At 40.0% G+C, this 26,533-nt stretch overlaps 1 protein-coding gene, 1 non-coding gene and 1 pseudogene across 16 annotated transcripts in view, besides 4 other annotated features; all 3 read right to left on the reverse strand.

Annotated features, from left to right (window-relative positions):
- The window catches only part of LYST (lysosomal trafficking regulator), a 222,683-nt gene that overhangs the window by 181,651 nt on the left and 14,499 nt on the right, over positions 1–26,533 (reverse strand). For 10 of the 15 annotated variants that reach the window (XM_011544031.2, NM_000081.4, XM_047443027.1 and 7 more), the window contains exon 1: positions 24,162–24,225. The exons of 3 other annotated variants lie outside the window; for them this stretch is intronic. The gene's annotated coding sequence lies outside the window, so the exon portion shown is untranslated. Of the gene's footprint in view, positions 1–9,281; positions 16,225–22,374; positions 24,226–26,533 lie in introns of those variants that run through there. 2 more of the 15 variants (XM_011544033.3, XM_047443026.1) reach the window with 2 other exon arrangements.
- On the reverse strand, positions 10,319–10,379 carry MIR1537 (microRNA 1537). Its single transcript, NR_031718.1, has one exon. It is a non-coding gene; the product is annotated as a microRNA 1537 (primary transcript).
- On the reverse strand, positions 20,707–20,756 carry RNU5E-2P (RNA, U5E small nuclear 2, pseudogene; annotated as a pseudogene).
- Positions 23,283–23,332: an enhancer, noted in NCBI's record as "active region_2805". NCBI's record gives its function as "activates an Ori minimal core promoter by ATAC-STARR-seq in GM12878 lymphoblastoid cells {active_cell/tissue: GM12878}" and the evidence as "EXISTENCE:reporter gene assay evidence [ECO:0000049][PMID:35858748]".
- Positions 23,703–23,802: an enhancer, noted in NCBI's record as "active region_2806". NCBI's record gives its function as "activates an Ori minimal core promoter by ATAC-STARR-seq in GM12878 lymphoblastoid cells {active_cell/tissue: GM12878}" and the evidence as "EXISTENCE:reporter gene assay evidence [ECO:0000049][PMID:35858748]".
- Positions 23,923–24,342: a silencer, noted in NCBI's record as "silent region_1991". NCBI's record gives its function as "represses an Ori minimal core promoter by ATAC-STARR-seq in GM12878 lymphoblastoid cells {active_cell/tissue: GM12878}" and the evidence as "EXISTENCE:reporter gene assay evidence [ECO:0000049][PMID:35858748]".
- Positions 24,393–24,692: a silencer, noted in NCBI's record as "silent region_1992". NCBI's record gives its function as "represses an Ori minimal core promoter by ATAC-STARR-seq in GM12878 lymphoblastoid cells {active_cell/tissue: GM12878}" and the evidence as "EXISTENCE:reporter gene assay evidence [ECO:0000049][PMID:35858748]".

The raw sequence follows: 26,533 nt of genomic DNA on the forward strand, positions 1-26,533 counted from the left end.
GATAGACTCAAGAGTACTGGTTCCCTGGATTATTTCCTTTACCTTCTGGAAATGAAATGGTCACTAAAGTCAGTCAACAGTGGCTCTGCTTTCATTGAATGAGACTTCCTGCAGACATCTGGATAGTTAACTTTGATATCTTAGCTCTGTTCCAGTTCTGTGATTAATTTCCACAACTTATTATCCACCTAAAAGATTACAGAATTAAGCTATCACCCTCAGTCTTGTGGATTTTCATGCATTTATCTTCTTGACACAGAGAACTACTACACCCGCCCCTCACAGCAAGTCATGACCACATATATTCTTCACTTTTAGGGCAGCTCCTCATATAATGGCATTTTTAGATGCCTTGTCATGTCTGTGTTCTAGACAATGCTACCAAGGACATTACATGTACCACTGAAAATAAAATCTCAAGCTCAACAACAGGGCAAGAAATGGTCCCTAGGTGGCTGAGTTTCCTTTTCAATAAATATCAAATAGCCAGTGGCCACAGTGATAAGAAGGGAAAGGGGTCCATTGTGCTACAGTTCCCTTTTTCATAAATTCATTAATTCCAATATTTATTTATTAAGTAAATATTTTAATAGATATTTATTAATATGCTCCAGCTCATTCTATTTTCACTATTTATGAATCTGTTCTGAATAGTGGGATATACATACAGTAGGCATCATGACAGTAGTGAAATAGGACCCAGAAGCCGCAGATCAGGAATCTAGCAATTACTAGCTAGTCACACAGAGCTGTGTGAAGTTTGGCTGCCTCTTCCATAAACTACCCCACAGAGTTGCTATGTGGAGCCTAAGAAATTATATAACCTCAGTAAACATTGTTGACAAATTTTATAGCTCTATGTAAATGCTCAGTACTAGCTGCACACCTTATGACAGACAGTGCCATCTGAAGGAAGAAAAAGATCACTGCAAGCTTTCCTCAGATCAGTGTGAGGAAAATGATGTTCTGTTTCATAACGCTATTTCCAGGGAAGCACTGAAAAAAAAAATAGGAAGTCCCTGTATTTTCTGCTTTTTCCTTGTCTTGTGGCTTCCACAAGAAAAAAAAGAAGTAAAAGGAAAAAACAACAAAAAAGGTTATAATAATGATATTTATTCTTATAGGTTGATTAGAAAGCATACTTTTTCCTCATCAAACAGTAACACCCAAAAGACTTGTTAGTCTTTCACCAAATGCCAAAAAATCCTGGAAAATTCCCTTTTAAAGTAACACTACGTGCTTGCCTAATTTTCTCAATTCAATAGTATTAGAGAAGTTGCCATTGGAAAGACTTTTTTTCAAAAATGTTATGTGCCAAAGAGGAGACTGTGATAAATCAGGGTTATTTTAAGAATTAGGCAAAATAATGTACAGAATAATAAGTGCCCAATAAATTCTGTTAAATCAAAATCTGCCATGATTTGAAGCAGCCTTCTTGAAAATAAAGGTTAGTTTATATGGATTTAACTATTCTAAATCCCAGCTCTCCAGAGTTTAATATATATTGATAGATTGATTAGCAACTTTCTCAAAGATCTCATATAGTCTTTACAACACATCAGTAAAAATAAAAAATCTTTATGAGAAAAAAAGATAACACCATTTATATCATTTCATAAATGACATGAATAAAGGAATAAACATGAATAACTTAGAATCTTATGTTGTCATAATGGCAGAAATTTTAGATATCATATTCTCTAACCCCACATTCTACAGTTGAGAAAAACTGAGGCCTACAGGTCCAAGGTCACAGAAATGATTAGTCACTGGACTCTACTATCCCAGTTGTCTTGGAGTTACATATGTTTTGGGGGGTAATTAACTAAAACTGAAATAAGCAAGTTTAGAAGATACATAGCCTTTCTTCTTCTGTCGATTAGAAATTAGACAACAGGCAAAGGCGTTTCCCTAACACTAAATACTACCTCTAAATGGTATCCAGAACCTTTACTCAAGTCCACTGGATTGTAATACATACACCTGGAAACAAGATTTTTAAACCTCTCTCTACAAACTTTTTAGACTACAACACAGAACTATATGTCTGAAATGCAGGACACTGGTGGGGGGAAGGGGACCAAAGAGGGGGAGGGGGAAACTGCACTTGTTCAGATTAATATAATTCTCTTTAAAGAATAAGCCAGTTAAAACATATCAGTTGAACTGTACAATATTTAAGCAAGAAAATATCTGTTAATCTAAGCTTTACTGTGTAACTTTTTAGTCAATACTAGATGTGTTAAGCAATAACCATCAGAATGATTCCTAACTAAAGAGAGGAGCTCCTGGGATCATGGCGAAGGGAGGCAGGACTAGATTGCAGCTCTGGACAGAGCAGCATGTGGTGGCTTGCATTGTGAATTTGAGCTCCAGATCCACTGCAAGAACAAACCAGCAATCCCGAGAGGACCCACAGACCCTCTGAAGGAAGCGGATTGCTCCTGCAGGCCCCAGGAGACCCCCAAATACTGTGAGTGCCCCAACTGTGCAAGTGGGAAAGGGAGACCCTCCTCTCCTGAACACACACCCCCACTGGAGAAGCTGAAGGTCTGTTTGCTGGAGAAGTTTCTGACCTTACCTGAGCTGAATCAAGTTAGAGAGCCAAGCCTAGTGAATTACAGGGGTAGAGAATGCAGCAGAAAGGCCCTGGGAGCTCCCTGGGTCCTTAAGTAGCCCATTCCTGCCTGGCACCACAAGGATCCATTGGGAGGGTGGCTAGAGGAGCAGGGGGTAAAACCCCACAGGGAAAGGAATTCTCTAGCCTAACTTTCTAACAATTTGAACGCGGTGAGAAGCCTGCTGGCCAGAACTCCGGGGAGGGTGCAAATCCAGCTCGCAGACTTCACAGGTGGAAGGAAGAACTAAAGCCCTTTTCTTTCGTAGCTGAGAGGTGGATAGCCTCGGGGAAGTTTTCAAGCCCATCTAGCCCTCAGCCTGGAAACAGACTCCCGGCAGTTAGGGGGGACACGGTGGGAGTGAGAGTGGCCCTTCTGTTTGCGTGGGAGCTGGGTGAGGGCTCCGACTGCTGGCTTTCCCCCACTTCCCTGACAACCTTCATGACTCAGCAGAGGCAGCCATAATCCTCCTAAGTACACAACTCCAGTAAACTGGGAATCTCACCCCCAATTCCCCACAGCAGCCCCAGCACGACCCAACCAAGGAGCTGCTGAGCTCATACACACCTAGCCCCACCCCCACCTGATGGTCCTTCCCTATCCACCCTGGTAGCAAAAGACAAAGGGCATTTAATCTTGGGAGTTCTAGGGCCCTGCCCACCGCATATCTTTCTCTGTACTACTACAGCTGATGCTTTCTGGAAAGCGCCACCTCCTGGCAGGAGGCCAACCAGCACAAAAATAGAGCATTAAAACATGGCCAACCAGTACAAAAATAGAGCATTAAACCACCAAAGCTAAGGACCCTCACGGAGTCCACTGCACCCTCCACCACCTGCACCAGAAAAGGCGCTGGTATCCATGGCTGAGAGACCCATAGATGGTTCACATCACAGGACTCTGTGTAGACAACCCCCAGTACCGGCCTGGAGCCAGGGAGACTCGCTGGGTGGCTAGACCCAGAAGAGAGACAACAATCACTGCAGTTCGGCTCACAGGAAGCCACATCCATAGGAAAAGGAGGAGTATACTACATCAAGGGAACACCCCGTGGGACAAAAGAATCTGAACAACAGTCTTCAGCCCTAGACCTTCCCTCTGACAGAGCCTACCCAAATGAGAAGGAACCAGAAAACCAACCCTGGTAATATGACAAAACAAGGCTCTTCAACACCCCCCCAAAATTTCTCTAGTTCACCAGCAATAGATCCAAACCAAGAAGAAATCCCTGATTTACCTGACAAAGAATTCAGGAGGTTAGATATTAAGCTAATCAGGGAGGGACCAGAGAAAGGTGAAGCCCAGTGCAAGGAAATCCAAAAAATGATATAAGAAGTGAAGGGAGAAATATTCAAAGAAATAGATAGCATAAAGAAAAAAAACAATAAAAAATTCAGGAAACTTTGGACACACTTTTAGAAATGCAAAATGCTCTGGAAAGTCTCAGCGATAGAACTAAACAAGTAGAAGAAAGAAATTCAGAGCTCGAAGACAAGGTCTTCGAATTAACCCAATCCAACAAAGACAAAGAAAAAAGAATACGAAAATATGAACAAAGCCTCCAAGAAGTCTGGGATTATGTTAAATGACCACACCTAAGAATAATCAGTGTTCCTGAGGAAGAAGAGAATTCTAAAAGCTTGGAAAACATATCTGGGTGGATAATTGAGGAAAACTTCCCTGGCCTTGCTAGAGACGTAGACATCCAAATACAGAAGCATAAAGATCACCTGGGAAATTCATCTCAAAAAGATCTTCGCGTAGGCACATTGTCATGAGGTTATCCAAAGTTAAGATGAAGGAAAGAATTTTAAGAGCTGTGAAACAGTAGTACCAGGTAGCCTATAAAAGAAAACCTATCAGATTAACAGCAGATTTCTCAGCAGAAACCCTATAAGCTAGAAGGGATTGGGGCCCTAACTTCAGACTCCTCAAACAAAACAATTATCAGCCAAGAATTTTGTATCCAGCAAAATTAAGCATCATATATGAAGGAAAGATACAGTCTTTTTCAGACAAACACATGCTGAGAGAATTCGCCATCACCAAGCCACCACTAGAAGAACTGCTAAAAGGAGCTCCAAGTCTTGAAACAAATCCTGGAAACACATCAAAACAGAACCTCTTCAAAGCATAAATCACACAGGGCCTATAGAACAAAAATGCAAGTTAAAAAGCAAAAACAAAACAACAACAAACAAAAGTACAGAGGCAACAAGGAGCATGATGAATGGAACCATACCGCACATTTCAATGCTAAAATTGAATGTAAATGGCCTAAATGCTCCACTTAAAAGATACAGAACCACAGAATGGATAAGAATTCACCAATCAACTATCTATTGCCTTCAGGATACTCACCTAACACATAAGCACTCACATACGGTAAAGGGGTGGGAAAAGGCATTTCATGCAAATGGACACCAAAAGCCAGCAAGGTATTCTTACATCAGACAAAACAAACTTTAAAGCAACAGCAGTTAAAAGAGACAAAGAGGGACATTATATAATGGTAAAAGGCCTTGTCCAACAGGAAGATATCACAATCCTAAACATATATGCACTTAACACTGGAGCTCCCAAATTTATAAAACAATTACTAATAGACCTAAGAAATGAGACAGCAACACAATAATAGTGGGGGACTTCAATACTCCAATGACCAGACAGGTCATCAACACAGAAGGTCAACAAAGAAACAATGAATTTAAACTATACCTTGGAACAAATGGACTTGACAGATATATACAGACATTTCATCCAACAACTGCAGAATATACATTCTATTCAACAGCACATGGAACTTTCTCCAAGATAGATCATATGACAGGCAACAAAACGAGTCTCAATAGATTTAAGAAAACTGAAATTATATCAAGCACTCTCTCAGACCACAGCGGCATAAAACTGGAAATCAACTCCAAAGGGAAGCTTCAAAACCATGCAAATACATGGAAATTAAATAACCTGCTCCTGAATGAGCATTGGGTCAAAAACGAAATCAAGATAGAAATTAAAAAATTCTTCGAACTGAATGACAATAATGACACAACCTATCAAAACCTCTGCGATGGAGCAAGGGTGGTGCTAAGAGGAAAGTTCACAGTCCTAAATGCCTACATCAAAAAGTCTGAAAGAGCACAATCTAAGGTCACACCTCAAGGAACTAGAGAAACTAGAACAAAGCAAACCCAAACCCAGCAGAAGAAAGGAAATAACCAAGATCAGAGCAAAACTAAATGAAATTGAAACAAACAAAAAAAATACAAAAGATAAATGAAACAAAAAGCTGGTTCTTTGAAAAGATAAATAAAATTGATATATCATTAGCAAGATTAACCAAGAAAAGAAGAGAGAAAATCCAAATGACCTCATTAAGAAATGAAATGGGAGATACTACAACTGACACCACTGAAATACAAAAGATCATTCAAGGCTACTACGAATACATTTACAGACATAAACTAGAAAGTCTAGAAGAGATGGATACATTCCTGGAAAAATACAACCCTCCTAGCTTAAATCAGGAAGAATGAGATACCCTGAACAGACCCAGCGAGATTGAAATGGTAATTTAATAATTACCACTAAAAAAAAAGTCCAGGACCAGACAGATTCACGGCAGAATTCTACCAGACATTTAAAGAATTGGTACCAATCCTTTTGACACTATTCCACAAGAAAGAGAAAGAGGGAACCCTACCTAATTCATTATATGAAGCCAGCATCACACTAATATCAAAACCAGGAAAGGACATAACCAAAAAGAGAAAACTACAGAACGATATCCTTGATGAACACAGATGCTAAAATCCTTAACAAAATACTAGCTAACCAAATCCAAGAACATGTCAAAAAGATAATCCACCATGATCAAGTGGGTTTCATACCAGGGATGCAGGGATGGTTTAACATACGTAAGTCAATAAATGTGATACACCACATAAACAGGATTAAAAACAAAAATCACATGATCATCTCAATAGATGCAGAAAAAGCATTCAACAAAATCCAGCATCCTTTATGATTAAAATTCTCAGCAAAATCGGCATACAAGGGTCATACCTTAATGTAATAAAAGCCCTCTATGACAAACCCACAGCCAACATAATACTGAATGGGGAAAAGTTGAAAGCATTCCCTCTGAGAATTAAAACAAGACAAGGATGCCCACTCTCACCACTCCCCTTCAACATAGTACTGGAAGTCCTAGCCAGAGCAATCAGACAAGAGGAAGAAATAAAGGGCATCCAAGTCAGTAAAGAGGAAGTCAAACTTTCACTGTTTGCTGATGATATGATTGTTTACCTTGAAAACCCTAAGGACTCCTCTAGAAAGCTCACGGAACTGATAAAAGAATTCAACAAAGTTTCTGGATACAAGATTAATGTACACGAATCAGTAGCTCTTCTATACACCAACAGCGACCAAGTGGAGAATCAAATAAAAGAACTCAACCCCTTTTACAATAGCTCCAAAAAAAAAAAAAAAAAAAAAAACTTAGGAAGACACCTAACAAAGGAATTGAAAGATCTCTACAAGGAAAACTACAAAACACTGCTCAAAGAAATCACAGATGACACAAACAAATGGAAACATATCCCATGCTCATGGATGGGTAGAATCAATATTGTGAAAATGACTATACTGCCAAAAGCAATCTACAAATTCAATGCAATCCCCATCAAAATACCACTATCATTCTTCACAGAATTAGAAAAAAAAATCTAAAATTCATATGGAACCAAAAAAGAGCCTGCATAGCCAAAGCAAGACTAAGTGAAAAGAACAAATCTGGAGGCATCACATTACCTGATTTCAAACTATACTATAAGGCCATAGTCACCAAAATAGTGTGGTACTGGTATAAAAATAGGCACATAGACCAATGGAACACAATAGAGAACCCAGAAATAAACCCAAATACCTACAGCCAACTGATCTTTGACAAAGCAAACAAAAACATAAAGTGGGGAAAGGACATTCTTTTCAACAAATCATGCTGGAATAATCAGCTAGCCGCATGTAGGAGAATGAAACTGGATCCTCATCTCTCACCTTATACAAAAAATCAACTACACATGTACTAAGGACTTAAACTTAAGACCTGAAACTATAAAAATTCTAGAAGATAACATTGGAAAAACCTTTCTAGACATTGGCTTAGGCAAGGATTTCATGACAGAGAACCCAAAAGTAAATGCAATAACAACAAAGATAAATAGCTGGGACCTAATTAAACTAAAGAGCTTTTGCATGGCAAAAGTAACAGTCAGCAGAGTAAACAAACAACCCACAGAATTGGGAGAAAATCTTCACAATCTATACATCTGACAAAGGACTAATATCCAGAATCTACAACAAACTCAAACAAATCAGTAGGAAAAAAACAATCCCATCAAAAAGTGGGCTAAGGACATGAATAGACAGTTCTCAAAAGAAGATATATAAATGGCCAACAAACATATGAAAAAATGCTCAACATCACTAATGATCAGGGGAATGCAAATCAAAACCACAATGTGATACCATCTCACTCCTGCAAGAATGGCCATAATCAAAAAATCAAAAAACAGTAGATGTTGGCATGGACGTGGTGAACAGGGAACACTTCTGCACTGCTGGTAGGAATGTAAACTAGTACAGCCTCTATGGAAAACAATGTGGAGATTCCTTAAAGAACTAAAAGTAGAACTAACATTGGATCTAGCAATCCCACTACTGGGTATCTACTCAGAGAAAAAGAAGTCATTATTTGAAAAAGATACTTACACACGTTTATAGCAGCAAAATTCACAATTGCAAAATTGTGGAACCAACCCAAATGCCCATCAATCAACAAGTGAATAAAGAAACTGTGGTATGTAAGTATGTATGTATATGTGTGTGTATATATATATATATGATGAAATACAATGCAGCCATAAAAAGGAATGAATTAACAGCATCTGCAGTGACCTGGATGAGACTGGAGACTATTATTCTAAGTGAAGTAACTTGGGAATGGAAAACAAAACATCATATGTTCTCACTGATATGTGGGAGCTAAGCTATGAGGATGCAAAGGCATAGAATGATACAATGGACTCTGAGGACTTGGGGGGAAGAGTGGGAGGGGGGCGAGGGATTAAAAGACTACAAATATGGTACAGTGTATACTGCTTGGGTGATAGGTACACCAAAATCTCACAAATCACCACTAAATAACTTATTCATGTAACCAAATACCACCTGTACCCCAATAACTGATGGAAAAATTAAAAATAATAAAAATAAAAAGGTTTATTGGCAAAAAAAGAATGATTCCTAACTAAAGACAAAACAAAGTTCATTAGGAATATTATTTTTATATATTTACTTTTATTAATATAAAAACCTTTATAATCTATTTTATAGTGGATAATAAATACACTCTCGAGAATACTGAAGCAAAATCTGGTACTCACTAAATAGGGGAAATTAAAATATTTAATGGGCTTTGTGTGATCAAATTCCTCTTGGAATTTAAAATGCAGATCAGGGAAAGATATGACACTTAAAGTTCTAAATTAAATAACTGAATAAGAAAATTCATGAAAACCAATTTAACAATAATATAAATGGTTTCACAAACTGAAATCTTCCATAAGACAAATCATGATCCCATATTTATTGACTACTCACCATACTTCGTGGTATGTTCAACTTTCATTGAATCTATTAACTTTAAAAGAAATGATAGCAGTTGTTTAGCGCCCAGGCCCTTCTTGACAAATACTGAACTTGCTTCTCTGAAGAGTGCATTAAGGAGCATCTGACTAGAAGTCAAGATGTCATGTATTCTTAGGAAATAAAGATTGTGGTCTCCAGTTCCGTAGATACTAACATTGGGACAGCTTCAGGAAGGAAATGCTGTTAAGGCTTTTAACTACAGACCCTACAGAATCTTAGTAACAACTCATGCCTCAATGGGAAAATGAATTCAGAGTTCCAACTTGAATTGCTAGCAATATGTTTTGCCCCATTCTCCCCCAGCCCCCTGCCTGTCAGGGAGGGAGAAGAGATTCCTGTACCTCAAAGCCATTTGTGGTAGCTCCAACAATCTGGGGAAAGGGCCCCAAAAGTAGGATAGTACCACGTAAGGCAAACAGTAAGCCAGTTAGACATGTTGAGGTAATCTCAGCACTTTGCCGGACCTTTTTCCCGGGGAAGTCTCACAATGCAACACTCAAGTATACTGTAGTTTATTTTGTCTGTAAGGGCAAATCTTATGCATTCTAAACATTCTCAACAACCATCTTAGAAATGAGCCTCTGGAACACAGTCATATGTAAGACGTAACTGCCATACTCAAAAGACATTTTTTCAACTAATACTGAGGTAAGTGACAAGTTGATTGACAATAAAGGAAAACTGCCAGAGTTCGCATTTAATAAATTATTTTAAAATGAGAATCCATTCTACAATCAACTTTCAGAGAGTTAAACGATCTCTGGGTTAATGACCATATCACCTCCCTCAAAATTTTACAGATAAACTAAGGCAGACAGCAGTTAAGAGATTTCCCAAAAGTCAGAGGACTTAACAGCTAGGTCTGCAGAGTCCTATCCAATGTTTTTCCTAATACTGCATACAATTTTTGACAGACTACTCACAACCAAACTATATCTTTCAGAATTCTACCTTTCAGAGCATTTTAGCGATTAGGTCTGGCACAACTTACAACTGTAACTAGACGGTTTTCTGTGTGGACAGGACAGAAAACTGACTAATTACAGCTGTACTTAGTGCCAACTCCCAGGCACGCCTCCAAGCACCACAAACTTCTTGCCCCCCCACAAACTTCTCAAGATGTTTTACAGCTTTGTTATCTTTTTCCATGTTTCCACATTGTACATTTATACCAAAAAGTAAATGACTTGGAAGAAAAATGTTGCTCCTCTTGAAAAGAAGTATGTACATTTTAACAAGAAGTAACACCTTCAGCTCTAAAGAGCATCAGAAATTTCAGCATCGGAGGGTTAAGAATTGGCTCTGAACTAGATGTTCTATATTTAAAATGTGGGAATATAATAATCCTTAACTAGTGAATATGGAAATAAATGGTTGTGCTGTTCCTATATTTATTCTGTATTATGCATTTAAGCTAAGTTAAAGTAGAAAAATGTGTTTAATGAAATATTTCCAATTTATGTAGAATTGTGTAAAGAAAACTAAAAAAAAAAACATGTATAACAGCAGTAAGGCAGTAGTTCTGGGGGAAGAATGGAAATCTAAGACAGCAATGGCCCAGAAAGGTGTACATATTATTTTTTCATATTTCAGGGTGTCAATAAACAACATTGCCTATTTCGCTACCCCTCTCCCCAAGCCCATGAAATCTTGGTTAACATGCCATTCCGGCTGCCTTGAAACCTGGGGCGCTGACCTAGGGAGGAGAGGTTACTCTGGCTCCTTGCAGAACAAAGCTGGCCAGGAAATAAAGGAAACTCAGGCATAGGGCAGCCAGGCAAAATTTTAATAGAAATTCAGAGGAAGTCACACTAAAACGCACCAAACTTAAGCCTTTCAACAGGTAGTTCATTTTTCCTAAAAACAAACAAATTCGGCAACCAGATATCTCAGGAAGAACCTGTGTTTGGCCCTGAGCACCGCAAAAGGGTAGAAATTCTGAGATATTGTAGCTATAGAGAGAGAGACGGCATTTAAAGGAACTATGAAGGTTCATCCAGGTAAATCATCTCCCCGGCTTTCTATCCCTGTTAGAAGGAATGTGCTAGATGTTTTACACTGACTACTACATCCCTCCTCAAAAGAGACCTTTGGATTTTTATAGCATGATGATGATGATGATAATCTGGCTAACACCTACAGTGATTAATTACTACACATCAGGCACTATTGTAAGCACTCTAGGTAAGTAGAGTAGTTAGTTTAATCCTCCTAACAATCTCCTAAGTAACATTATTATCCCTAGTTGACACATATTGGAAACTGAAGCACAGTAAGGTTAGGTCATTGCTCAAAGTCACAGAGTTACTAAGTGTCAGGGCCAGGATTCAGACTCATGCAATCCCTTTGTATTCTATATACAAATTTCTATTCTCCAAAGCAGACATTGACTTCTCTCTCCAATAAGCCAGCTCTTCCTTCTTCATTCCTCTTTCAGTAAATGGCCTCTACCCAGTGACTGAGGTGAGAAACCAGAATAGCACTTCATCTAGTGCCTAGTCAATTCTCCCTCTTGACCACTTACTGGTTCACCTCTGCATCTGCTGCTCTATGACCTTGGGTACTCGACTTCCTCTTTCTAAGCCTCAGTTTCTCATCTATACAACTGAGTTCATAAGAGTAGCTGTAGTTGTTGCGAATATCAACATTAAACGAGATAATTCATGTAAAATGCATAGCACAGTGCCTGGCAGATTGCAGGAAAATCAATTATTATTAGATATTATCATCATCACCTTGAATCTGGTCCTTCCCCCTAATCTTACACCTAAGCATCCTTAGACCTTCAACTCCTCTCTTACTTGCAATACTAACAACCTCCTACTTGATCACACTGTCTGGTCTATTTTCTGTTTAATCTAAATATGCTACCACTAAAAATGTTACTCATATCCCTTGGAATGACAAATGTCACTCCAATTCATAGGGAAGAAGATCCCAACTGCTTATTATCAAAGTATGCAATACCTGCTACAATTTAGCTTTTCCAAACTCCCAACACATAACACGTTGTACCACCCTGCAATTCCTTCAAAGGGTATACACTTTCTCAACTAATTTTTTATCATGTTGCTATGGAAATTCCCATTAATTCCCAATTAATTACTTTTCCATATGCCTCTATCTTATCACTCACCACACTGTACTGTATTGTTTCTTTTAAAACTAGATTATACTTTTCTTAAGAAAGGAAACCAGATCTTATTTGATCAGAAAAATATGAGCATCTAACACAGTACCACAGATACAAGAGTTCAATAAATAAACACCAGTTCATTTAATACTAACTTTGATAGAAAACATTTTAATATTCAAATACCTTTAGGAAATGTTCCCCCAGGTAAGGCTCTGAGAAACAGACACATTTACAAAAGCCACTCTCTATTCCACAATTAGCATTTAAGGCACTACCGAAACACCTTAAAAACCTTACCAAACATTTTTCATATTAAAACCAAAAACCTTCAGCAATAAAATTTTGGATGCTTATTCATACTGTTAAAGATAATCCAAAGCATACAGTTTAAAAGTTCTTGAAAATCAATTATAAGCATGATAGTTTTCCATACCTCCTGAGGAATGCTAAAAACAGCTTGGAGCCTTATCCTAAATGTGAAATGAAAATAATAAAAATAATTTATGTAGCTGTACTATAATAATAAACTTTTTTCATATATATTTTGCATAAGGTTAAAGATTCTGCAAAATAAGTTTTAGAAGATTCTGCAAAATAAGTTTTAGACATACTGAACACAGATATTTATAAGCTTTAAATACACCTTGCACGTATAGATAGCACGTTTCCTCTTATTTCATAATTCTTAAGAAACAAAAAAATTAGCTTCCCTTCAAAAGAAAGAAAAAACAATAATTGAGGCAGTCAATTACAGAAAAATGTGTTTACTGTTATAAAACATTTCACACCAAGAAAGATAACCACAAGTTCAAACTCAGATCTGGTGGCTGAATCTACTGTTCTATAACCATGTGTGAAGATGGATAGTTAGGGGAGCAGAGCACAGAACAGAAATAAGAAAGAAATATATATAAATATTTTCTGAGCACAGGCATTTCAAATTCCACCCACATAATTTTTTTCCCTACCACACTGGGTAGTTTCTATCATACTCGGTAGTTTCTATCACTGTGGTCTAAATGTAGACTTGTATAAAGAAAAAGGGTTAAAGTTAAAGGGGTAAAATAAGGAAATTACATATTGAAAACCAAACACTATGGGTTTCTATGATGCACAGACATCTTTTGGTTATGAGATCACTTTCTTAAAATACATTAAAATTTTCAAATGGTTGGTAGTATAACAGAAAGAATAGTAGACTAAAAGTCAAGAGATTCTCAGTTTTCTGTTTTGCCTTGTTCTCTTTAGGATCTCAGGCAAGGTGCTTAACCTTTCTGATGCCCATTATTCTTACAGATATTTAAAAAACAAAAACTAGATGATCTCTAAATGCCTCTTTGGGTTGTGAACTTTTATGAGAGTACAACATTCAGAAAATGTAGTAAGTATCAACATTAATTTAAGATTAAAATTATACATCTTCAATGTTTCCTTAAACTGTGCATAATCAGGTTTTATCAAAACTGCCTTACTGGGTTCTGTTTTTTAAAAAATAAGGTGAAGAGAAAATAAATATATTTCAGTAATGTGGAGCAAATGACTTTAGAAACATTCTCCAAAATGTTTAAATAAGGCTAATAGAGAAATATTTCAAGACTAATTATCAGTATTACTGTCTTTGGAAGCATCACTAAGCAGAAATTCAGGAAATGGCAAAAGATTTTAATCTTGAACAAACTCTAAGTCATAATGCAGTAAAGGTACAATGAAGTCTAGACACTTAAATATGAAAAGTAGGATAAGAGTGAGCTGATGGATATAAGCAGCTCTTACAAGTTACACAGGATATACTGATTTTTTTTTTTTTTTTTTTTTTGAGATGAAATCTCACTCTTGTCGCCCAGGCTGGAATGCAGTGGTGCGATCTCGGCTCACTGCAGCCTCCACCTCCTAGGTTCAAGCGATTCTCATGCCTCAGCCTCCTCAGTAGCTGGGATTACAGGTGTGCGTCACCACACCTAGCTAATTTTTTGTATTTTTAGTAGAGATGGGGTTTCACCATGTTGGCCAGGTTGGTCTTGAACAATAGGCATAAACCAGAGCCATCTTAGGCAAATCAAGATGTTTGGTCATACCAGTGATAAGTAACCAGAGAAGCTATCACCTTAGAAATGGTTGTGGATGTTGAAAATAAGTGAATTGAGCCCTCAACTAGATGGGCATGAGTGGAGATTACTAGCCTAAGATGACTTTCTCTAGTCACATGATATTGCCCTGAAATATCATGGGCTATTTCTTCTGGGTACATCTTCCTATATAAGGATGTTGGGATTTGAAGAAAGTTCTAGATTCATCTCTAGATGAACATTCAGAAGTCATTAACATATAGGTGGTATATGAAAGCTTAGAAATAGATGAGATCATCAAAGGAAAGCACAAAGAAAGAGAAATGAGGAGGAGGAGAGAATCCAGAGGCTCACCAACATGAAGGAGCTGGCAAAGAAGAATCCAGCCAATGAGACTGAAGAGGAGTGGTTAGAGGGGTACGAGGAAAACCAAAAAAGAGGGGGGTGTGTCTGTGGGTGTGTGTGCGCGTGTGCACACAGGTGTATATATATACACACACACACGTATATATACACAAACATATGTAAATACACACACACACACACACACACACACACACACACACACACACATATATATATAAAATTTCACAAGCCAAGAGAGAAGAGAGGGTTAAGAAATGAATGGTTAATATTTTCATATGCATCACTTTGGGGGCCAGGAAGACAAGTCAGTATTCTCCTAGTTTCCCAAGATGACTTGTAAGTCATTGTTATTCGATTTTATCCACTTTTAAGATTACATTATAGCTATATTTATAGTTGTCACCTACTGACCTTTGAGTCAGCCATCTCCATTTACTGAGAATTTTGTCGTATGACTATCTTCCTTTCCACACAGAAGCTATATATTCTGGGGACTTCATTATCCATAAGAACAATTGATTCCAACACACAAGACTTAATGCTCTTTGCCTTCTTCTTCAATGACCCCTACTTTGCAGAAGGCTAGCATGGTTTAGTAGTCAGGCATAAGTGCTTCAATGCTAGAAGGACTCAGAAAGACTCAGGTACTTCGTAGCTGTGAGTCTTGGGAAAAGTTACTCAATCTCACTGAGCTCCAGTTTCCTCATCTGTAAAATGTTGATACTAATATGTGAAACATAAGCATGATAACCTATGGAAAATATTTACTATAGTGACTACTACACAGTGTTCAATGAATAGTAGTTTTTATTAATATTAATATTGTTATAATTAGCACTATTAATCTTGGCTATCCACCCATCATTGGTCATTCTTTGGCCCTTATCATCACCTGAAACTGCTAACTCCAGAATCTTAAATTGAGAATTCTCACATCTATGTGCCAATTTTTCCATCTCTAGTACTCTTTTATTTCCATTAATCCTGCACTTGACTCATTTAGATTCTTCATCCTCTTCATTATCCACATTTACCAGCCTTGTCTTGGCTTGGCTTTGTTCCTTAATAAGCAGGATTCCTATGGCTCAACCCTTCAATTAGCAGCCTCATTACCACTCTCTATTCCTTGACTTCCCACTACCCCCTACTCAAGTTTTCCATCACATCTTCCCTTCCAATCTCAATCCAGGTTCAGTCTACTTGTTTTCTGCATTGTTATGGGGGTGGGGAAGGGGAGTGGTCCAAGTTCAGTCTATTTGTTTTCTGCATTGTTATGGGGGGCAGGGAAGGGGAGTGGGAGCAGGCAGGCTGCTGGAGAACACTGCTTAACCATCCTGCTGGCCTCTGTACATTTGTGATTTCAAGCCTGGAAGGGTATTCATCATGATTCAGCAAAGAAGTCACATGCCCCTAGTTAAGTCCCTTTTACAATCTCAATAGTAACTTTTATTTTCCCCTCAAGCATACTCCAACCCATGTTCTTCCTTCTCAATCTCAGCAGATAATCTTGCTTCACAGAGAAAAAGAGATGTCATCCTGGATACTAACTTATATCTATATCTACCCCATTTCCTTTTCGTTTTTAAACAGGAAGATACATCATTCCTCTTCTTCAGGGTAACTCTTTCATTTGTCCTCCTGGACCTGACTCTTCCATTTCCTCTCGTTACATTTGATCAATTATCTTCTACCTCTTGTGACTTCAATTTTCTTCCTCTTCAATGGTCCCTTTCCCTCAATCCACTGAAGTGTCCTTGGCTTCTCCATCCTTAAAACAGACAAACCTTCCCAATGATCACATCTACTTCCTCAAGCTTCTACCCACTAACCTCCCTTCATTACCAAAAGTATTTGAAAGAATATATTTACTGAACAAATGAAAATTGTTTTATTGGGTTTAGGCTTCTCTCCTGAGCACCAGGCCTTTTTTTTTTTTTAAATGTATCTATATCTGACTCAGTTTCAACAAAGGAAATAAAACAGCTAATTCCACCAAACTGAAGAAAACTGATGGATTTCACATCTCCAAATCCACTCCTCCACCCGTATTTTTTAAATTACGAGTAATTATCTGCATCCCCATTCACCCTCAGACAATCTAGAATCCTTAAAGCCTGCTTTGATTCCTCCCTCTCCTTTATCCATAACTACACAAGGCCTTTCTAAAATCTCTCACATCTGTCCCCTTTGCGCCTTCCTGGGATTATTACTGTTGAGGTCTTTCTCATCTTACACGAATTGAAAGGGATGTTGTCAGGGTTAAATAAAATAATAAATGGGAATGTACTCTGTAAGTTATAAAGTAGTACTATACAAAGAGTATCATACAAATACTATTACATCTTTGGCAAAGTAAGCATGAAGTTAGCTTAATATGACTTGTTCTTAAACAAATTCTGGGTCTTAGTAATCAGTGCTTTCTTTTCTAATTACAAATCACTAAGCACTTGGCAAGCTGGTCTATAGTTTTTCTAGGAATCAGTCAGTGTCAAGATTTTCAATATATAGTTTCTGGACTTTACCTTCCTCTCCCCCCATTTTTAAATGTAAAATATGCAATTCTTCAGGTTTCTGGCAGAAATCTTCTATCCTCTTTTTTAAAAAAAGACTTTATTTTTTAGAAGAGTTTTAGGTTCACAACAAAACAGAGAGGCAATTACAGAGTTTCCATGTACACCCTGCTCTCTCACACATGTACAGCCTCCCCAACTATGGACAGCCCCCCTAAACTGGTACATTTGTTATAATCAATGAACCTACACTGACAGGTCATTATCACCCAAAGTCCACAGTTTACATTAGGATTCACTCTTGATGTGGTATATTCTATGGGTATCGACAAATGTATAATAACATGTAGCTACCACTGTAGTATCTTCAGAATAGTTTCACCGCCCTAAAAATCTTCTGTGCTCTGCGTATTCATCCCTCCTTCTCTCCACCACTAATCTTTTTACTGTCTCCATAGTTTTGCCTTTCCCAGAATGCCATACACTTGTAATCATAAAGTATGCAGACTTTTCAGTTTGCCTTTTTTCACTTAGTGATATGCACTAAAGATTTCTTCATGTCTTTTCATGGTCAAGCCACTTTTAAACACAACTTTACAGGTATAACTGACATGTAACAAACCACATATTTAAAGTGCATAATTTGATATGTTCCAACATATGTGTACACCCATGAAACCATCATCAAATCAAGATAGTAAACATATCTAGTATCCCCTGAAGTTTCCTAGTATGCCACTGTTCTCCCTCTTTCCTGCCCCTTCCCTCTGTAACTTATCTCCAGGCCAGCATTGATCTTTCTTCCATTATAGATTAATAGGCATTTTCTAGAATTTTACAGATGGAACAATGCAGTATGTACTTTTTTTTTCTTTTTGGTCTGGCTTTTTTTCGTGCTGTGTAATTATTTTGAGATTTATCCATGTTGTTGTGTGATCTAAAGTTCATTCCTTGTTATTGCTAAGTAGTAATCTGTTATATAAACATTGCTTTTTAAAGATGAGTGGCAGTAGTTTTATAAACATTTCTAATATGTGTAGTACTCTACCCTATTGTTCATTTATTTCTTCCATTCAGTTAAAATAGTGAAAAGCTCTCTTATGTCCTCATCCATTTTATGTTTTAATTTCAAAGAATCATATTTGAATGGAACAATGACTAGCCTTTTGAAAATTATTTGATTCCTTTCTTGATTAAGATAATCAATTTTAAGCATTAATCTTTCATGTTATTAGGTAAGATTTTTGTTTTTCAGCAGTTAGACCTGGAAAGCCTTCAACATTTCCAAACGTATTGGACCTCTCTCATTACTGTAAACAAAGTTGGGGGATTAAGAGTTACAAAGCCAAACACTGGTGACACACAGCAGCAAAATAAAATAATATCAAAGACAATACAGTGCCCTCAAAGACTCCAAGATCAGTTTATAATTAGTTATTAATCTGACAGATTTTTATACATTTTTAAGATATATTTAGGTTGAAAATCCATTTTAAAAAATTAGCTTATTTCCTGGTTCTTAAAGTGTAGACCTTAAATTCCAGAAGACTGATATATACATATATATGTTTTGTTTGTTTGTTCTGTTTAGAGATGACGTGTTGCTGTGTTGCCCAGGCTGGACTCGAACCAGGCTCAAGCGATCCTCCCACCTCAGTCTTCCAAGTAACTGGGACTATAGGCACAAGCCATGGCTCCTGGCTTCGGAGACTGATAGACTTTTTATCCAAGTTTTACAGGGCAAATTCTATTGCTACAAATACTATATAATTTGATTTAGAAGATCTTCATTTAACATGTGATGGCCCATTTATTTCAAGCCATCTTTACTGAAACAAAACAATTAGGCTAATCCCTGCATATTACTAACTTACCAGTGTTAAATGAAATTTATAGGAGGTCACTGGTTTAGACTGAGTTCCTCCTGCACTAGGGACAACAGATCAAATCAAAATGGAGTCACTCATGCTGAAGTTCCACTTCACCAAGCCAAAACTAAGTTGTTTATCTGACCTTCCAAGCAATCAGGAGAGACAGAGTTAGTAGTCAAATCCCAAACAGGCCAGTTGATATGATATGATATGACTGACATAAGGAAGTCCCATCTGCTTTAACCCTAATAAGAAAAGTAACTTTAAATGACCAATTTGCTTTTTCTTTTCTGTTTCTGTTTTCCTCACCCCTTTTCAGTGTATACGGTAGTATCCCTTTATCCGCAGATTCATTTTCCAAGGTTTCAGTTACCTGAGGTCAACTGTGGTCTGAAAATATTAAATGGAAAATTCCAGAAATAATTCATAATTTCAAATTGCACCCTGTTCTGAGTAGCATGATGAAATCTCATCCTGCCCTATAGTGTATATAGGATTCAGTACTATCCACCATTTCAGGCTTCCACTGGGGATCTTAGAACATATCTCCCCAAGGCCGGGTGCGGTGGCTCATGCCTGTAATCCCAGCACTTTGGGAGGCCAAGATGGGCAGATCACTTGAGGTCAGCAGTTCGAGACCAGCCTGGGCAACACGGTGAAACCCCATGTCTACTAAAATTACAAAAATTAGCCGGGCATGGTGGCAGGCATCTGTAGTCCCAGCTACTCAGGAGGCTGAGGCAGGAGAATCGCTTGAACCTAGGAGCCGGAGTTTGCAGTAAGCTGAGATCACCCCACTGCACTCTGGCCTGGGCAACACAGCAAGTCTCCATCTCAAAACAAACAAACACACACACACACACACACACACACACACACACACACACACCCCTTCAAGATAAAGTGAGACTACCATAAAACCAACCACTTCTGCTCGGCTCATGAGAACACTTGTTCTATTTTATAAAATGAGGTGTTGCCTGATTCTACAATGGCAAAGGTGAAGTAAGATCTTTAAGCTAAATTTGTTGTAATTTTGTCTTTTGACATTACAAAGTATTAAAAATGAGTCATTTCCTTTGTAATTTTGCAAATGGCCAAGTAAAGCCACACTTGATAACATTTTAGGGCTTAAAAAAAATCTTGAACTTGGCCCAGCACGGTGGCTCACGCCTGTAATCCAGGCACAGTTGGGGGCCGAGGAGGGCAGATGATGAGGTCAGGAGATTGAGATCATCCAGGCTAACACAGTGAAACCCCATCTCTGCTAAAAACACAAAAAATCAGCCGGGTGTGGTGGCACACACCTGTAGTCCCAGCTACTCTGGAGGCTGAGGCAGGAGAATTGGCTGAACCTGGGAGGTGGAGGTTGCAGTGAACCAAGATCTCGCCTCTACACTCCAGCCTGGGTGACAGAGCGAGACTCTGTCTCCACGGAAATCTTTAGTAAAAGGCGAAAGATTTATACAATTTGAAGAGAAACCAGAGAATGACTCTGTCTAAAAAAAAAAAAAATGTTGAACTTAAGCCGGCAACCAGATAATTCAGGAAAAGATTAATCAGATGAAGGTGTTCAAGTTAAATACAGCAACAGACCAAAAAGGTACTCTGAAATTCCAGACTATATGGCTCTCTCTACAACCGAAGCTAACAAACACACTATGTGAGTGCAATCAAACAAAAATAAAACTACAATTGGGAAAAGAATGACTAGGTTGGTCCAAAAGAATTAAGAAGAAAATAATCATGAAATCAAAGCTGGCAGTTTATGGGTGAAATTTTTAACCCCCTGGTATAGTCAAGGTAACGTAAAAAGTGTCTTCAAAACAAAGTCACTTGTGTTTACTACTAATAATCTCAGCTTTGACAAAAATTCTTTGCTTGGCCAAACTTACTCAGGCTTTTGAATTTTCTGTGAGGCCCATCTGTGCACTTCCTTGTAAAATCCAGTATTAGCAAAGAACCCTGCTAAGTCTGTTTAGCATAACATCCTGGATATCTAATCATCCTAAATATCTGATCAGGTTCCTCATCCTCCACCATTCCCCAGGTAATGTCTGATCGCCCTGGCCTGTCTTCAGCAAGAATCCCGTTAGGTCGGCTTAGCCAGAATCCCCCTTATCCCTGATGTTTCCTTTTAGCAATTTTCCATCCACGATCCCCACACTGCTGCTTGGCTATAAATTCCCATTTTCTCATGCTGTATTCGGAGTTGAGCCCAGTCTCCCTCCCCTACTGCAGGGCCCCACTGCAGAGGTCTCTATACCTATTGAGATGGTTCTGAATAAAGCCTTACTTACCATTCTTAAACAAGTATCATTGAATATTTTTTTCTTTAAAAACGTGAATGTCTAATTTTATTGTCTTCTAACCAACTCCCACCCTTCTCCCCACCAAACCTACTCCTCTCGTAAACCTAATCTCAGTAAACAAGTACCCCATCTTTCTACTTGTTCGGAACTAAATTTTGGTGTCTTTTACATCTCTACCCTCAATTTATCCTGAAATCAATGACCTCTCACCACCTCCACCAATTCCACTCTGGTCCAAGCTACATTATCTCTGGCCTGGATTAGGGCAACAGTTCCGGATTGGTATCCCAGCTTCTGCTCCTGCTCAACCCTTCCCCTACAACAAAGTCTATTCTCCATCCAGCGCCCAGAATGATCATTTTTAAAAGGCAAGCCTGGGGCCGAGCGCAGTGGCTCACGCCTACAATCGCAGAATGTTGACACGCCAAGGTGGATGGATCGCTTGAGCCCAGGAGTTTGAGACCAGCCTGGGCAACAATGGCGAAACCCCATCTTTACAAAAAATTAGCCAAGCATGGTGGGTGATGTGTGCCTGAAGTCCCAATTACTTCAGAGGCTGAGGTGAGAGGATCACCTGAGCCTGGGAAGTCGAGGCTGCAGTAGGTTGTGATCATGCCACTGCACTCCAGCCTGGGAGACAAAGTGAGATCCTGACTCAAAACTAAAAATAAAAGGTAAGGTTCTTTACTCAAAGAGTGGACTCCCCTTTCCACTGAGAGTAGAAACTCAAGTCCTTAAAAGGGCCTACAAGGCCTTATACAGTCTAATCTCCCACCACACTCACCTCTTTGACTTTATTTCTACTCCTCTTTGCTTTTTCCACCACAGCCAAATCAGCCTCTCTGCTGTCCTCAAACAAGCCCAGCACACAGGGCTTCTGCAAGCCCTTCTGCCTTCCTCTCTGCTAGCACATCCTTCCCTCAGAGAGGTACATGGATTACCCCTCACTTACTTCTGGTCTTGGCTCAAATGATATCTTTTCTAGGAAGCTTTCCCTGGCTGCCTCTAGTTAAAATTGCAAACCTCTCCCGGTTCCCTGCCCTCCCTCTTCCCTGCCCTCCCTCTTCCGTGCTTTTTCTCTGTAGTACTTAACACCATCTGACACAGCACATATTTTATTTGTTTATTATCTGAGGTCCCCACTAGAATATAAGCTCCATGAAGGAGCAGATATTTATGTTTTCTTAGAAAAGTATCTGACACGCAGTAGGTGCTCAATAAATATTTACTAAATACATATATATAATTATATAGTTTGTGAAGTATTTTTATGCAAATTACAGCAATTCATTTTTCCTTATGCCCTCTCTTCTTCAAATTCTCCAATCTTTGTAGTAACAATATGGATGACAGCAAAGAGCTATCAGAAAAAGAGTTGTTGGCCACTTAACAAAGCTCTTTAAAACAGATACCCCATATTAATCAACTACATCTATAAATTGAAAGCTTAAAGTCAACATCTTTATTAGCATAGATGAATCTAGGCGTGGAATTTTAAAATAATAGCGCAGAAGAGCCAAGAATCATCAGGAAGAAAAGTCTAATTCAGTTTGTCCTATCAATCTGTTAAACAAACAATAGGAAAATGCAACCTGCATTTGATCTTCAAGGAAACACTGGCCCAAATTCAACACGAACGCATTCAACACAAGATTCGACTCCCTTAAAATTTTCTATCTGCTTAAAACAAACCCCATTAACTATCAAGTGCCGTCGCTGGGTGTGTATGGTCTGCCGAGCGGATCGGGGATGTTTTGCTATGTTTTGTTTAACCAGATAAGAATTAGCGTTAAGGAAACGTTTCTTAAAGCCTCTGTATCCCCTGGACCATTAAACAACCCCTTCGTTGGGCTTTACACTGTGGTACCGGGGTCTTCTCGGGTAATTTCCCAGCTTATTTAACTCATCAGAAGCGAAGGGGCATCTCAGTCAGGCTCCAGTGATACCGGAGACAGACGGCAGATGTCTCAGGGGATCCCCTGGAAAGAGAGGCTCTCGCCCAGTCAAAGGGTGTCACGGACAGGAGGAAAGAGCGGACCGAGGCGCACGGTGTAGGTGACAGGTGGGCGAGCGCCGCAGGGCAACAGCGCGGGGAGTGACCGGCTGGGTGGTGGCGCGGAAACCGTCAACTCCCATCGTCAACCTGACAGCTTGGGCCCAGCTGGGCTGAGTAGTGCAGCGGCACAGGATCAAAAAATAAAATAAAGGTAGCAACACACCGCCGTCAGCCTGCTCGACCTCGCCCCCCGCGCGCTGCGAAATAAAGTTAGTGCCCAGTGGCCGCTGCAATGGCCCAGAGGGGCCCAGCCGAGCTCCCGCCCGCGGCCCGGCGGCTGTCAAAGGCGGCCCGGCGCCGCGAGAAGTCCCAGAGCCCAGAAGCCAGAGAGGACGCCCCGAGCTGGCGCGTCAGGCCGAGTGCCCTCGCGCCCTCGCGCCCTCAGCCCGGCGGTCCCGGCCCTCAACCCAGGCTGACAGCCACCAGCCCCAAACCGCCTCCCCTCCAGGCCACGCAGAGGGGCCGGGACCCGGAACCTTCTGCCGGCAGCGTCGGCGCCCGGCGGCCGCCTTTACCTGGTTTGTGGCAGCTGCGGCCGCCGCGCACTCCCCCTCTCCCGGAGAACCCCGAGCCGACGCCGCTGCCGCCGCCGCCGCGCACTCCCCACCCCCGCCCGCCCAGGTAACCCAGGAAACCGAGAACACCACCCCCTCCCTCCCCTCGTCCGGACCCAGACCCGCTCGTCTGCGCGTGCGCCCTTGGCTCCGCCTCGCGCGTGTAAGCCCCGCCTCCTCTGGGAGGGCAGCGCCGGCGTCGCAGGCGTGACGCGTGGAACTGCCGAGCCAATAGGGAAGGCAGGGGGGCGGGCCGACCCGCGGGGCTGCAGCCGGGGCCCGGTCTGGGTTTCTCAGCGGTCGGGGGTCGTACCCTGGGTCCGCACCTCCTCCCAGGGCTCTGCGTAGTGGGCTGCGTCAGACCCTGGGGAGTGCGAGCACCGTTTGAGAAGCACCAAACACAAGCGCATCGTCCGCCTCTTCCATTCAACACAGACTGTCAACCTGTCCCATTGTGTAGGTCTAGAGGATGAAGATAGAAGAAATAACGGGAAGGAGTCAGGAGAGGGAGAAAGGGTTACCCACAAGGCACCCCTAGCCTTCCTCTGGGACCTGGAAAAAGCCATATTGTAATGGTTACCGTCGGCTTCTTTCAAGAAACAAAAAGAGCTTTGCAAAGCCACTGCAGAAGTAATTCAGTGCAGTGGTGTATTTTCCAACCGACTCCTGTTCAAACACGGTTTGTATACAGTGCGCACTGTCAGTGTCATATGCCCTAATAGACCAGTCCCTCCAGAGGGTGGGAGCTGTAGGTAAAATCCAGGATGTTTTGGCTGCATCCCCGGCTCTGGGCCCAGCACGCTGCTGGCAGACTGCTGCGGTAGGCAGTTTGGCATTTCAAGGGCCACCCTCCTCACCTCCTAGTCACTGAGACAGCAACGCCAGAGGTACTGGGAAAAAGCCTGAACTGTAATCGTTCGGTAGTTTTCAAGTTCTGCCAAACAATACAAACTATTAATAAGCAGATAATCTACAAATTGACAGGAATTGCTGTAGAATCAACAACTCCCATAATTTTTTGCACAGGAATTATGAAATAGAAATAATTCAGGATATTATGTCCCAAGCCTATATACCAAATGTTACTCCCAATTCCTCAAACTCCCATCTAACCCAATGACAAGCAAAGTGCGTTAAGTTGCCCACTGATGTGGTTTAGAGGGTGCTCTTGGGGAAAATTCCCCACTTTAAAATATGTCTTCTCTGACGTCTGATGTTTAACCATTAGCAGTTCATATCTTTAGGCGAAGATTGCCCACTTCCTCTGGCAGGTAGTCTTTTATTTTTATTTTTTATCTTTTTTTTTTTGAGACAGATTCTCGCTCTGTCGCCCAGGCTGGAGGGCAGTGGCCGGATATCGGCTCACTGAACCCTAACAAGTGCAGGAAATAAATGTCTCAGGGAACTTATCACTCATTTAAGCAGTATATAATGAGCACCTACAATGCGCTAAGTATTGTGCTAGGTGCATGGGCCTGAACTGAAACAAAAAGAGGAAGCCAAACTTAACCTGTTTCGTCATTTTACCTAAAGCTGTGTCTACTCTTATTTATACATCAACTTTCACCCACTAATCTTAAAAACACCCCCCTTTTTTAATGGACAAAAGAAGTCAAAGAAATATTAAGTAACAAGCCAGTTTCTGTTAACCTTGAGTAGAAAATAATAGATTATCATGATTTCATTAAAGCAAAGAAAATGAGACAGACTTTAGATGATAATGGTATACAATTGGCCCTCAAAGTATTATTTGTTTGTAAAAGGCACAAAGTAATGCCATTTGTGACTATTATTTTTTTCGGTACCAGTGTTTTTTATTTTATTTTATTTTCAAGATGCAGCTTCACTCTTTTTCCCTGACTGGAGTGCAGTGGCACAGTCTCGGCTCACTGCAACCTCCGCCTCCCGGGTTCAAGTGATTCTCCTGCCTCAGCCTCCCAAGTAGCTGGGATTACAGGAATGTGCTACCATGCCCGGCTAATTTTGTATTTTTAGTAGAGACAGAGTTTCATCATGTTGGTCAGGCTGGTCTCGAACTCCTGACCTCAGGTGATCCACCCACCTCTACCTCCCAAAGTGCTGGGATTACAGGCATGAGACACCGCTCCTGGCCTCGGTTCCAGTATTTTAACTAAGCTACTGCAGTATGTATTTTATTCAATAGTATCTTAGAACATCGATACTAAATATACATATCAAATAAAACTTAGTTTAAAAGATTTCCTAGGAACACACACAAAATGTGTAGTGAAGAACATGAAAAAGAAGAAAAAAGTAAAGTAATAGGTATATAGAAGAAAGCTCTACTTGGCCGGGCGCAGTGGCTCACGCCT

This window comes from Homo sapiens, chromosome 1 (assembly GCF_000001405.40).
Source record: "Homo sapiens chromosome 1, GRCh38.p14 Primary Assembly".
In the NCBI taxonomy this organism is placed as follows: Eukaryota; Metazoa; Chordata; class Mammalia; order Primates; family Hominidae; genus Homo; species Homo sapiens.